At 38.6% G+C, this 15,065-nt stretch overlaps 1 protein-coding gene across 5 annotated transcripts in view, besides 1 other annotated feature; it reads left to right on the top strand.

Annotated features, from left to right (window-relative positions):
• Positions 1-15,065, top strand: part of SEL1L (SEL1L adaptor subunit of SYVN1 ubiquitin ligase) — a 62,307-nt gene that overhangs the window by 19,222 nt on the left and 28,020 nt on the right. For 3 of the 5 annotated variants that reach the window (XM_005267989.5, NM_005065.6, NM_001244984.2), the window contains exons 4-7: positions 8,391-8,558; positions 10,326-10,431; positions 11,749-11,911; positions 14,970-15,023. In XM_005267989.5, the coding sequence (XP_005268046.1) occupies positions 8,391-8,558; positions 10,326-10,431; positions 11,749-11,911; positions 14,970-15,023 (491 nt within the window). The remainder of the gene's footprint in view (positions 1-8,390; positions 8,559-10,325; positions 10,432-11,748; positions 11,912-14,969; positions 15,024-15,065) is intronic. The other 2 variants (XM_047431676.1, XM_005267988.4) reach the window with 1 other exon arrangement.
• Positions 8,400-8,600: a silencer, noted in NCBI's record as "peak2221 fragment used in MPRA reporter construct". NCBI's record gives its function as "represses an SCP1 promoter by STARR-seq MPRAs in K562 erythroleukemia cells {active_cell/tissue: K562}" and the evidence as "EXISTENCE:reporter gene assay evidence [ECO:0000049][PMID:32103011]".

Below are 15,065 nucleotides of genomic sequence, written 5' to 3'. Positions count from 1 at the left end.
ACTGACAAAGCAGCAGAAACACTAGTTTTCCTCCTAGACCACAAAGAGGACCAAGGAAGATTGGATTTAGTGGCCCTTACCAACGCATTCTCAAAATCCTGCACTCTTGTCTGTCCTCCTAGACCCCAAAGAGGACTGAGAAAAATCGGATTTAGTGACCCTTAACAACGCATTCTTGAAAAGCTGTTAGAGTCCTAAGCATTCTCCTGTTAGTAGTGGGATTTTACCCATGTCCTATAAAGATGTTATGCCCTGAAAATGAAGTGGAGGGCCATACCCTAAGGGAGGGGAGGGATCTCCAGAGTTGGAAGAGTGATGCCTTTTGTCCTCACTTGAATAGGAAGGATATCATTTCTGAGGCTCCCCATATCCTAGCTTCAGGAATAGCTTTTGTTAGGCCTGCTACCCTGAGGAGGGATCCTAAAATTACAGATAAGTTAGTCCCCCGCCCCGATGGGGCTTTGGGCAAAAATTGTGTCTTTCTGGTTAGTGAGCCCAGGTGCCTAAAGAAGGGAATAGAGTCCTGGAGTATATACTAGAAATCATTCTCATAGGAGAAACTAGAAAAGCACCAGAGACAGGGAGTTGTTTTAGAAGCAGGACTAGCCTCAGAGAAGAGAGGCGAGAGGAAGTTTGTCTGACAAGCATTAGGACCCAGGAAGCAAGGGTCAGGATAGATAGGATAGATGGGCGAGTCTCACTTGGGCGACGTGACTTCGAGAGTTCCGCTCATGGCCACAGGGTCAACAAACTTGTCGGGACCCCGGAGCTGAATGGCTTTCCTCTCTGTCCACCCTTGGCTCAGCCGAGAAGTACAGGGAAAGCGGAAGCTGGTTCCAGGCAAACCAACGCTCCCAATTCCGAAGAGTTGGGGGTGGTTAGAGAGCTCTTTCCCAGAAAGCCTGACATCCGTGTCTTTAGTCCGGCGGCCGCGCTAGTCGCTTTTAACTGGCTGACAGGTGCCAGTATTTAGCCCCCGAATTCTAAGGAAAAGTAGGACAGAATAGCAAACGAAAGGGGTCTGATGGTACTCACTGCTTGCTGATTGTCCCTTCGTGGGTGCCAAAATGTGTCCAGAATTTATTCCTTCTGGTGGGTTCTTGGTCTCGCTGACTTCAAGAATGAAGCCACGGACTCTCGCGGTGAGTGTTACAGTTCTTAAGGTGGCGCGTCTGGAGTTGTTTGTTCCTCCTGTGGGTTCGTGGTCTCACTGACTTCAGGAGTGAAGCCGCAGACCTTCGCAGTGAGTGTTAGAGCTCATAAAGGTAGTGCGGACCCAAAGAGTGAGCAGCAACAAGATTTATTGTGAAGAGCGAAAGAACAAAGCTTTCACAGTGTGGAAGGGGACCCGAGGGGGTTGCCACTGCTGGCTCAGGTGGCCAGCTTTTATTCCCTTATTTGGCCCTGCCCATGTCCTGCTAATTGGTCCATTTTACGGAGCGCTGATTGGTCCATTTTACAGAGAGCTGATTGGTGCGTTTACAAACCTTTAGCTAGACACAGAGCACTGATTGGTGCGTTCTTACAGAGTGCTGATTGGTGCATGTACAAACTTTCAGCTAGACACAGAGTGCTGATTGGTGTGTTTACAATCCTTTAGCTAGACAGAAAAGTTCTCCAAGTCCCCACCTGACCCAGAAGCCCAGCTGGCTTCACCTCTCAGTGGGAACCCTTCCAAAATCTAAGTTTGTAGATAGCAGCCGAGGGCCACATGATAAGCGGTCTTTCAAAAGATAACTAGTCAGGCTTGCTGTGTTAACTGTTTTCTGCATATCATCTCAATAAACATTTGTTGATCATGAATGAATAATTAAAACGCCATCATAAGGAGAATGATTACATTGTGGTATTCCCTATTATAGAATACCCATAGCCATTTTAAAAGGAACAGGTTTTGTTGTAAATAAAAAAATCCATCAGACAATGGCAGAACCAGAAGTTTATTTGGCTCATGTAACTAGAACTCACAGATAGGCAGTTCAGGACTTGTGCCATCAGAGACTCCAGCTCTCCCTTTCTTCCTGTTCAGCTCCTCAGTAGACTGGCTTCATCCTCATGTTTGTTCCATGTGGTCAAATCTGATAGTGGCTGCACCTTCAGGGCCTGGGTCCTCAGGAAGAAGTGTTGCCTGCATCAGAAGAGCAGAAGCATTTTCAGAAGACACTAGGAGAATTCTGAAACTATTTCTCCTGGGGAAGTGGTTCAGAATCAGTAATGAGGCAGTCTGCCCTGTCTGCCACCTACAAGAATGTCAATGATATGTTAAGCAAAAAAATGTCCTATTGAAAAGTAGTTCAGTTAGTATGATCCTGTATTAGTCACAGTTCTCCAGAGAAACAGAACCAAAGGCCATTTGCTTGGAGAATTTCTTCCTCATAGGGTTCAGTCTTCATTCTGCTCAGTCCTTCAACTGATTGGGTGAGGTCTGTCCACATCATGGAGGATAATCTGCTTTACTCAAAGTCCACCAATTTAAATAATTTCATCCAAAAATCACCTTCATAGAAACTTCCAGAACAATGATATACTCAATATCTGGGCACTATGGCCCAGCCAGGTTGACACACAAAATTAAACCATCACAAATCCTTTATGTGAAAAGAAGCCATTTGTAAAAATAAGTTTGCAAATGAAAAAGGTCCAGAACTTCTTTTTTCAGTAACTGTCATTACCTCTTGACAGAAATAACTTGAAGTGATAGGTAAAGATAACTGTCATTTTTCTTTAATTTTGTATACTTTCTTACTGTTTGTCTCTGCAGTAAACACATCCTTATAGCCTTAAAAAAGAAAAATAGAGTAATTGGCATCTTGATCTATTTCAAATGGCACAAAAGGAACTGAGTTTAAACTGACTACATCTTGCTTAAAATTGGGTTCTGAAGCAAGTTTGTTGAGCAACAGAATGGCATTTCTACTTCATTGTTGCTTAAATGGGGATGGCAGGGAAGGAACGACCTTTAACCTAGCAATCATATTAAACAGAAGATAGAAGAATAGGCAGTTGCCTGCAACAGGTCCTGACTTTCATGAAAAGGCTTTTTTTGTTATTGTTTCTTTGGTTTGATTTGGTTTTACAAGCAAATTATTTGTGCAAGGAAACTCCTTTAGGAGACCATCCTTGTAGATCCCAGCCACACCACAGCTTTGAAAACTCACGTGTCTTTAAAGCCGTTGTTTAGAGAAACCCACTGTTCTTAAACAGCAGCTTTCCTGAGCAAGTTTTACTCTGGATGGTTTTTGACAGTGCCTGTCACCTGATTAATATGAAGTTTGCCACTTTATTCTGGTCACATGGGCCAGTGATTGTGCTGCTTTCTCTTTGTATTTTAAAATGATTAGTTGCTTCTCACAGAAAGAGCTGAGCTTTGTATGAACCCTGATCTTAACGTTTTGTTCATTCTGCATATGAATACATCTTCTGAAAAATACATTTTAATCTGTAAAGTGGTGGCTTTCTTCGTATAGCGTGTGTTTATTTACAAAGATAGTTTCTAGACCTTATTTAGCAGTTTTCAACTTTTGGTGAAAGCAGTCTGTAGCAAATTACATACCATTGGTATTTTCCCCAAAATATTACTATAGCATATTCCCAGACAACAGTAAAATATTGCCTGTATCATTTGGCCTATATCACTTACTTTAAGTCAGGTACTTTGTTTCCTTTAAACCATATGTACTGGTGCTTTGTTCATAGTCCTTGGGAGATTTTTTTTGGTGACAATCGTTTGCTTGGTTGAGCTTTTATGTTGGTGTTTACTAAAATTGATGAACACTATGACAGTTGTCTTGAGGTTGGTAGCTTTTTAACATTAAATAATTGTTTCTCAGCTATCTTTGACTACAGGTATATTTGATTCATATGCTACTTAGTACTCTATGTTTGGAAGTACCAGATTGTTTCAGAGAGACAGCCTAATAGATAATTTTCTTATTTAAATATCACCTATGTAAACTGTAAAAGTTCTTAAAATGAGAAATTTGCAAAGCTAAATTATGTTTATCTGTATAGATCAAGAAATTAACTTTTAGTTTTCTGTTTTGATTTTACAATTTAAAGTGAGAAAAAGATGTGCTTATATTCCCCTAGCCTTTAATTGTCTATATATATATATATAGAGAGAGAGAGAGAGAGAGAGAGAGAGAGAGAGAGAGAGAGATCAGCATTCTAGCTATGTTTACCTTTTTTGTCTTGGATTCTTTCCTTCAATGTTCAAGCATACTGTAATATCTTATCTGTTAAAAACAAAAATCTTGTATCCCTTAGTCCCCCTCCAGCTACCATCCCACTCCTCTACTCCCCTTTATAGCATAATTCTTTGAAATCGTTCTCTATAATCACTGATTTCCCTTTCTCTCTTCCTGTTCTGTAATCCAGCTCCAGCAAGGCTTGAGCCTCCTCCAGACTGCTAAATCTACTCTTCTCCACTAGTCACATTCTAATTGCTGAATACCTGGTCGGTTCCTGATCCTCATCTTAACCCCTCACTAGTGTTCTTTTCCCTGAAGATACTTTCTTCAGTTGGCTGCTGGTTCCTTAGAATTTGTCTGATCTTGAAACATGAGCTTGCCTCAGGACTCAGCCTTTGATCCTCTTCCCTGGCTTCACTACTCTCTAGGGACCTTTAATTCCTTCCGTGTTGACGATGCCCCGGTTTTCGTTTAATGGCTGCCCCATAGTGTATTTACCCAGTTTCCTATCAGTAGATCTTTGAGTTCATTTGGTTTTATGTTTTTAAAATTAGGATACTGTACAAGTATTCTCTTGTACATAATCTCTTTGTGTGTTTATGGGAGCATTTTTTTAAGTAAACATCCTGGAAGTGGAAAAGCTGGATCTGAAGATATGGACCTTTACATTTTAACAGATATTACCAAATGCCCCCTCTTGAAGAGATTGTATTAATCCATACACTTGCTAAGAGTATGAAAGGGCCTATTTACCCATCTTCTGGCCGACGCTGCATATTTTCCGTTTTATTTTGCTTTTTACTTTTTCTTACTTTCTTGACTGATTTTAATTGACTTTGCAAGAGCAGATTTCTACTAGTTGAAGTGTAAAGCATTCTGTTCATTATTACAATAAGTTCTGTACTATAAATATCTTCCTCTTGAGGTCTAAATAGATTGGGATACTGTGTCATTAATTGTAGAGCCAAAATATGATTCATTACCTAGAAAATGTGAATTTTTACATGAAGCTGCAGAACTGAGAACCCATTTTTCCCTTTCACGGTGTCAGATTTGATACTGGTTATCGCTAATTTAAATTGCATAACCTGTCAGCTTCATTATACCAGAGCAGTGATTACCTTGTTTTTAAAATTGATACTCTTCTGGTGGAGGTTTTTAAAAGGATGGCTTTGAAATTATTGCAGGATTTCTCCATAGAAAGAAAATTAACTGAAATTAAGACTATTGTGAGGAGTTTCTGTTTGAGATAATCGATTTGAAACTAGAGAGTTCCAATCAGTAACTTTTGGAAGATTTTAGAACAAGTTTAAAAGGTAGTAACACTTTCCATATTGTGATTTCCCTTGGAGAAGGTAGCTGAGAGAAACAAATTTTCTTCACTAATGAATTATTTTGACAGGTTGCAGTTTTGACTAAATTGATGAAGCAAGTGCCTCCTGAGGATTCTTCCTCCTTATGTCAGTGCTGAATCAGCAGTAGATGAAAACCTTTTGTTGTCAAATTTTTTTTACTCTCTCCAGTTTCTTTTCTGTGGTATAGTTCATCACATGAAAGGGAATTATTTCATATATTTGAAACATTTAGAAAATACAAGTTTTGGCAAACTGGAATTCCTATGATAAGTTATTTGTTTTTAAGACAAAGATTTCTATTATCATAGAAGTGTTAATTCTTTTAAACCATCATTTGCTATTTAATTTGAAATTCAGGTTTACAAACTGCAGTTCTACAGACGCTTTCTCGGCTCACTGCAACCTCCGCCTCCCAGGTTCAAGTGATCCTCCTGCCTTAGCCTCCCCAGTAGCTGAGACTACAGGCATCCACTGCCACACCCAGCTAATTTTTTGAATTTTTAGTAGAGACAGAGTTTCACCATGTTGCCCAGGCTGGTCTCAAACTCCTGGGTTCAAGTGATCTGCCCACCTCAGCCTCCCAAAGTGCTGGGAATTACAGGCGTGAGCCACCGTGCCTGGCTCTCAGACACTGTCTTTCTAAAGCAGCGGCAGATTTGGATCTAGTAGCAGTGTATAGGGATGTCCTTTCCAAATTCTGTAGTCAGAATGACTCCTCTGAAGTTGTTGCTAAAGGATTCCTTGCCTATACATTGCATTAGAGATCCTTTCTTTAAAACATAGACAAAGCAAAGGTAAAAAAAGTTATTTGCCTCTTATTACCAGGATGATGAGTGACATTTACCTGGTGTAAACCATTTGAAATTCATTTTGTCTTTCATAGCTTATTGAAAGTATGTTTTAATTTAGTATTGTAGGATATGTCTTTTTTCACACTGGAAAGATAGAAGGGATACTTTCTAGCCTTCAGAGCAGGGATGCCCATAATAATAGCAGCTGTCATCTCTTGAACTCTTATTACCTAAAGTGATAGGCACCATAATGAGTCCTTTACATGTATTATCTCAGTCAGTCTTTGCAAACAATAAGGACTGTTATTCCTATTTGGAGATAAGGATGTTATCTCTAAGTAATCTTAAGAGATTAAATAATTTGCTCAAAGTGCACAGCTAATAAGTGGTAGGATTTGCATCAAATGTTCTGACCCCGGAATCTATACCCTTCATGACCGAGCTCTGCTACCCAATTAAATTCTCCATGTAAAAGCAACCAGTGGAAGTTGACATGGGCTCATACCTACTGTGTACAGTTTTAGGCTTAGTCCTGGACCTCTGGTCTTCTCATATACCTCTCATGCAGCATTCTTAGGCATACCCTTGAATTCAAGTGTTATCTGTGTACTGGAGAATTTTTTTTTTTTTTTTTAGCTGTAACTGAAACATGTTTAAGACATTTTCACTTATTTTTTGTTTTTGCTGTTTTTTTTGTGTGGGTTTTTTCTTTGTTTTTTGTTTGTTTGTTTTTTTAATAGCCACCTTGAATGTAGCAGTACCTACCCAGTAACCTACTCCTCCTTTAGAATTCTGTATCTTAGTAAGGGCAGCCATCTATGTACCCCTAACGCACCTGGGTATCTTCCTTGACTCAACTTTCCTCTTATCCACACATCTAGAAAGTGGTACCATATCTACCTCCTTAGAATCACTTGAGTACATCCACATCTTCCATTCCATTCCCCTCTCTGGGCTACCATTGCTTCTCAGATGACTGTTAACAACCTTTAAACTGGTCACCTTGCATCCAGCCTTACTTTTTACATACTTTCCACTCTTTTAATAAAATGTGAGCATGTCACTCCTATGCAAAACTTTTCAGTGAGTTTCCATTGTTCTCAGGATAAAAGTTCAAACTCCTTAAGACATGTAAGGTCTTCCCCAGTCTGTCTTCCTCATGCTGCTTTAGCCTCTTCTGTTGTCCACTTTGCCATTCATTTGATTCTTGTCACCTTAGCACCAATCTGTTTGAGTACTCCTACCCACCCCACCCATGAGCCTTTCATTCACTGCTACTCCTGCACGCCCTTCAGGTTCAATTGAAACCTCAGTTCCTGAGAGGGGAGGCTTTCCTTTCCATAGCATCCATCACACATTTGCTTAGTATCTCTCTTCCTGGCTAGGCAGTAAGTTGTGTGTAGCAAAGATCTCTGATGCACCTCATTTCTAGCACCTACCATAATTTTCAACACCTAAGAGATACTCATAAATAATTTATAGAATAAATTACAGATGCAGTCTCTACCCTTAACAAGCTCAAAGTCCAATGGGAACTAGAGTATGGTAAAGAAGTAACTTCCATACATGTGATAAGTACTCTAATAAAATGCCACAGGATTGCAGAGGAGTGTGTGAGTGGTTAGCTTTGCCTTGGGGGGAGCATTTGCCCTTTGTAACTCTGTATTACTGAAGAAATTGACTTACAGCATTCAGAAACAAGGAGAGCTGTGCTGAGCAGTAGAATTGATTCACTTGCATTTTGCCTTATTTTTTGCTTACTTTTTGGGCAGGAGTTTTACAGTAGACCTTTAATATTCTAAGGTTATATATCAGGAACTTCAGAAAGTCTAACCTAGACACAGATGCTATGTAGTCAGCTAGCCATGCTCACTAAATTGACTAAACCAAGTCCTCCCTAATCAAAATCATTGCTAGCCCTTTTATGTTCCCAGTTACAAATCAGGCATCATGAATCTTTGCTTCAAATTCCAACAGCCAAAATTGATGGCATTGAATCCATGAATACCAGAGGTGTTGTTTCATGTTTAGATTTTTATTTCTTGTCATTCCAGCTTTGACCGCCATTGAAGGCACAGCACATGGGGAGCCCTGCCACTTCCCTTTTCTTTTCCTAGATAAGGAGTATGATGAATGTACATCAGATGGGAGGGAAGATGGCAGACTGTGGTGTGCTACAACCTATGACTACAAAGCAGATGAAAAGTGGGGCTTTTGTGAAAGTAAGTATTGCTCAGTAGGAGGCAGATCTGCATTGCTTTATGTCTAGGGCAATGTTTTTAAGGCCTTTTTCTAGCCATCCTTTTTCCACATTGGTCAGAAATGGCCAGCATTGCTGATGTCATTACAGCCTTAAAGAGTGGACTTAAGAGTGGGAAACTTGGTGTATTTATTTTCAGGCTGTCACTCAAGTCACACTCACGTTTTATTTAGAGATGGTTTTCCATTGGTATACACAGGTTGTTTTGTTAAACCCTTCAGGCAGCCTGATAAATTATTAAACATAAAACATTTTGGGGGCAGTAAAGGAAACTGGGCCATTATGGAGAAGGTTAATAGTGATTAGAAGAAAAATAAATAACTTTTTAAAAATACTTAAGGTGAAATATGCTATACCAAGGTAACATTTGACAAATACAGTGTATTTAACCATCTTTAGTATAAATGTCATTATAGAGATGCTGACTCTAAGGAAAGCTATTTTCAGGAAAAACTTCCTAACTATGAAAAAACAACAGAAAATCTTGAACATAATCCCTTAAATACCAATTTTTAAAAAAATAATGGCTGTTATAGAATATTTGGGCAATCCTAAAAGAGCACATCAAATATAGTCCATCTTTAGATGTAGGCCAGCGTGACTGGGTACTCCAGTTAATGCACCAGAATTTTTTTATATTATAAGAAGAATTTGCTTCTGTTTCTATAAATACTGGTTCTAATGAAATGTTTGTTTTGATGAGTTCTTACAGTAGCAAAATAACTTTTGAAAAATCTATAACAGTTCTATGATTTTCAGTGTTATATCAGTTTGAAAAATTGGTGAACTTGAACATTAAATCAGTTTCTATATTTAATAAAAATTTTTTACTAACTTGTATTATATAGTTAATCAAATATTTTCACCTTGTAAAGATATACAGTATTTCCAATAGAGCTAAAGTGTCCTTTGATCCCAACAGTATTTTTCTGACTACTGTGTTCGTATGTCTTGACCTTATTTTAGCTGACCTTGGCATATTGTGTTAGTCCATTCTCACACTGCTGTAAGGAAATACCTGAGACTGGGAAATTTATTAATAAAGGAGGCTTAATTGGCTCACAGTTCTGCAAGCTGTACAGGAAGCATGATGCTGGCATCTGCTTGGCTTCTTGGGAGGCCTCAGGAAACTTACCATATGAGATGCAGCCGTCTCATATGGTGGGAGCAGGAACGAGAGAGATGATGAGGAGCAAGGTGCCACATACTTTCAAATGACCAGATCTCGTGAGAACTTACTATCACAAGAACAGCACCAAGGGGATGGTGCTAAGCCATTCATGAAAAACCACCCCTATGATCTAGTCGCCTCTCACCAGGCCTTACAGGTGAGAGAGATTGTAATCACCAGGGATTACAATTCAGTGTGAGATTTGGTGGGGACACTGATCCAAACCATATCACATATAATCTGAAATTTTAGTTGAATTATATTTAAAAAGTTAGCATTACCAACAGAAAAGTACCCTCTAAGAGTGGCTTGGTATTGGTATTTCTATAAAAAAGTGATTTCAGTGAATTTTATATATGTGTGTATATATATATATATTTTTTTTAAGTTTTATCTTGTGTCATGTAAAGGCCACACTTAAGTGTTTTTAGAATCATGTTTGGGAATAGTGAAAGATCATTCATTTTGTTTGTATGACTGCCCAAAAGAAAGAATACTAATGGTTGATAATTGATAGAATTAAAATCCATTTAAATGCATCTGACGTTTTGTTTTTAGCTGAAGAAGAGGCTGCTAAGAGACGGCAGATGCAGGAAGCAGAAATGATGTATCAAACTGGAATGAAAATCCTTAATGGAAGCAATAAGAAAAGCCAAAAAAGAGAGTAGGTAGCACTGCTAAGTCCACTTTTCCCCCATGACAGGCCATTACTGAGACAAATAGCAACTACATTCTTTAAAAAGTGCACTGCCAGAGACGCAGAAGATTTTTTTAAGTTCCATTACAAAAAAATGTAATATAACTTACGGGCATTAGTAGCATTGCTTTTACCACACTTTAGTTAAGGTAAAATTGTTATACTGATTACAGTAACAAACAATGAGTAAAATGGCAATGATTGACTCAAGTTGTAGTAGTTTCTAAGAACCAAGCATGCATATACTATTTAGAATTCAAAATGACATAAAACAAAAAGAATTGTTGTCAAGTACGTTTTTTGTTTTTGCTTTGTAATTTTTGACTGGAATTTAGGAATTTGTGCTTGGAAAAAACAGAACAAGTGATTATCTCGTAACATCTTATGTCCTTTTAATTTCAGCTGACATTTTTATAGTCTGCAAAGATTTAAAAAGAAAATTGCAACAGTTATTATTAGATCGTATACTGGACACCATCATATTCTCTTATTGCAAATCGGTTAACTTTTTTTAATAGAAGTTTTTAAAATTACTGTTAGTATAATTAGACTATTTCAAGATATTAGGATAACAGGGAGAACTGGTACCTTATATGAAAAACAAAATAGCTAGCCAATCTGGGCAGCATAGTGCAACCCTGTCTCTAAAAAAAATTTAAAAATTAGCCAGGCATGATGGTGCACACTGTGGTCCCTGCTACTTGGGAGGCTGAGGTAGGAGGATCACTTGAACTTGGAAGGTAGAGAGGCTGCAGTGAGCTGTGATCACACCACTGCACTCCAGCCTGGGCAACAGAGGAAGACCTTGTCTCAAAAAAAAATTAAAAAAAGGGATGTTTTTTACATGTATAAGTAATATGACTGAATAGAAATAAGATTATCAGAGGGGGTGGCTAGGCGTGGTGGCTCACGCCTGTAATCCCAACACTTTGGGAGGCTGAGGTGACCAGGAGTTCGAGATCAGCCTGACCAACATGGTGAAACCCCGTCTCTACTAAAAATACAAAATTAGCCAGGCACGGTGGCGCACGCCTGTAATCTCAGCTACTTGGGAGGCTGAGGGAGGAGAATTGCTTGAACCTGGGAGGTGGAGGTTGCAATGAACCGAGATTATGCCATTGCACTCCAGCCGGGACAACAAGAGTGAAACTCCATCTCAAAAAGATTATCAAAGGGGTTTTGTAACATAAGGAAATTATTTATGTTGCGTTTTAGTAGATCAAAAAAACTTAATGGCAGTTTCAAAACATTACTAATTTGGTTTTTAATTGTTTACATTTGAAGAGCATATCGGTATCTCCAAAAGGCAGCAAGCATGAACCATACCAAAGCCCTGGAGAGAGTGTCATATGCTCTTTTATTTGGTGATTACTTGCCACAGAATATCCAGGCAGCGAGAGAGATGTTTGAGAAGCTGACTGAGGAAGGCTCTCCCAAGGGACAGACTGTAAGTACATTCTCAGTGAAGAATCTCTCTGCATGTAACACTTGTTAGTTTTAAAAGCAGTTTACTCTCTATGTCCTGACTTCTTTTAAAAAGTCAGACTGGAAGATAAATACCAATTTTGTGGCTGACCATTTTATCAGTCTTCTTGGATAGTCTTTTTCCTTAGTCTGGGAACATTTATGGTCATGGAAGACATTTTTGCAGTTGTGCCTTGCTACAATTACATTTGTACTCTTCCAAATTAGATCTGTAGAGAATGAAATATGAAGATAATTACTTTTTATCTGAAATTACTCACCATTGCATTTTTCCAAAGTTCAGATGTTGCAGCTCATGTTAATCTTGGTGTTTTTTTAAAAAAGTATTTTATTACAGAAGCAGTACATGTCCATTATAGGAAACTAGAAATACAAACTAACAAAACTAAGAAGTACACATCACATATGTACCACCCAAATATGAGTAATAATATATTAGTGTGCATGCATATCTTTCTGTAATAGATCTTTCTCTTTGTGTATATATACACGATATTTTTATTAAAATGAGATATCACTGTCTATTGTTCTGGAACTTCACCTTTTCATCCCAGCACATTTTAAGTCATATAATACCCACACTATGTTCATATGATGTTGAACCCAAAAATTTTCTTTATACCTGTTTTGTCCAAACCAGTATTCAATCCAGGACTCTACCTTACATTTGGTTGTTATCTAGTATACCCCAATGCCTTTTTTGTCTATATTAGAGATAGGGCCAGTTTTTCTGCAGAATATCCTACCTCAGTTTGTTTTCATGGTGGCTTTTAGTTTGTTTCTTCATCACCTGTATTTCCTGTCAATAGGATGTCACAGCTAAAGGCTGATGAATACAAGTAAAATATTTTTGGCTAGACTACATTACAAGGGATGTTCTGTATTCTACATTGTATCACATCAGTTGCTAACATATCTGGTTGTTTCCCCATTAATAATGCTAAGATTGACACCTGGATTTAGGGGGCCATCATATTTATTTAAAATTCCTTCAATAATTCAAGCTTATTCAAGCTGCGAGACTTGCTTAAAGATAAGTGAAATATCTAATCACAAGGGAAGTCTGTTTTCAAACTATATAAACAATAACAGGAGTCATAACAGTTGTTTTCTTAGAACTGAATACCTAACAATTCTGCAGCTCTTTCCTCGGTATTTTATTATAAGCAGATTATATCTTAATTGTTCCCCTTTGTTTTCAAAGGTTTTTCTCTTCTTTGCGTGAATCAGTTTATATAAAAACATATATATTCTTATTTTCAGAGGTATTCTGCTCTGAAGAACGGTTTTACTTTATAAGGCATCAGTTCCCTCTAATATTAGAACCTTACAAAGCCACAGCACTTTATATGTTGCAAAGCACCCTCTCCATGAAAATTAGTTCTAGTTGATGCAACAGACAAAACCCGCAAATCACAGTGGCTTAACACTACAGAGAGTTATTTCTTGCTCATGCTAGATTTGATGTAGCTCTCCTGTTGGCATCACTCTTTTCTGAGTAGTGACTCCTGGTCATGGGCTGTTTCTATTATGTAGCTACACTGATTGCTACACGGGGCTTCCATGCCATGATGAAGTGAGAAAAGAGAGCCTCAGGATTCATTAGGGTGTTTTCAGGCTTACATCCCTGACAGCCATACCCCAGGCATGTGATTCTACGGAGAGGCTGGAAAACGTAGAGGAGCTCATGATTTCAGTGAGCACTCCAGTCTCTGCCACACCTGCCTTTGTCATGTTAGCTTATACTTTCCTATCATCAAGGATGATCCATAGAAGGCAAAGGGTTGAAAAGGTTGAACTTCACCAATGCATTATTTCTTCCATTTTTGTGTTTTTATTTTTAGAAAATCATGTGTGCTCTAACATTGTAGAGCAGCCTTTTTCCCTTGACCTCTTCAGCTTGACCCCTTGCTCCTCCTTTTTATATCTGAGATAGTTTATCTTGGTAATTCATATCTTGTCTGTTTTCATAGTGTATTCCTTTCTGCATATATAGAGAAATATGCTGATGTACCTATAGCGGGAGTTGTCTTCATAATGGCTGTTCATAAAGATAAAGTCATGTTTACATGTATTCAGCTTTGTCTTTCTAGTTAGTATTAAATTGTCCTCAAGCTAAACTTTTTGTCTTGTTTAAAGTTACATTTGGCTGGGCGTGGTGGCTCATGCCTGTAATCCCAGTACTTTGGGAGGCCAAGGCAGGCAGATCACAAGGTCAAGAGTTCACAACCAGCCTGGCCAACATGGTGAAACCCCGTCTCTACTAAAAATACAAAAAGGAAATTAGCTGGGCATGGTGGCGGCACCTGTAATCCCAACTACTCGGGAGGCTGAGGCAGGAGAATTGCTTGAATCTGGGAGGCAGAGGCTGCAGTGAGCCGAGATTGTACCACTGGTCTCCAGCCTAGGCGACAGAGCAAGACTCTGTCTCGGAAAAAATAAATTAATAAAAATAAAGTTACATTTAATTGTGGCCGGGTACAGTGGCTTACCCCTGTAATCTCAGCAGTTTGGGAGGCTGAGGCGGGTGGATCACTTGAGGTCAATAGTTCAAGACCAGCCTGGCTGACATGGTGAAACCCTGTCTCTACCAAAAAGTACAAAAACTAGCTGGGCGTGGTGGCATACGCCTCTACATAGTCCCAGCTACTTGGGAGGCTGAGGTGGGAGAACCACTTGAACCCAGTGGGCGAAGGTTGCAGTGAGCCAGGATCGTGCCATTGCACTCCAGCCTGGATGACAGAGTGATACCCTGTCTCAAAAAAAAAAAAAAAAAAAAGCCACAAATAAATAAAATTTTTTTTAAAATAATGCTACATTTAATTTAATTGTGTAATGTGTAAAACTCTGAATGCTTTTCCAAGGCTCTTTAATCCATGTTTGTACATACTTGAATTCAAATCTTTTAGCATTTAAAGACTCTTGCATTTTTTCATAGTATATAAAACTGTGTCTGTCTGTGTCTGTCTTGGATAAACCTTCACCAAAGCAAGATTTCTTACTTTTATCATCTATTTCAGGCTCTTGGCTTTCTGTATGCCTCTGGACTTGGTGTTAATTCAAGTCAGGCAAAGGTAATACTATTAAAACTTTATTGCATATTACAATTTGAATTG

This window comes from Homo sapiens, chromosome 14, assembly GCF_000001405.40.
Source record: "Homo sapiens chromosome 14, GRCh38.p14 Primary Assembly".
NCBI lineage: Eukaryota > Metazoa > Chordata > Mammalia > Primates > Hominidae > Homo > Homo sapiens.
The sequence above is the reverse complement of the archived record's forward strand: the minus strand, read 5'-3'. Positions and strand labels throughout refer to the sequence as shown.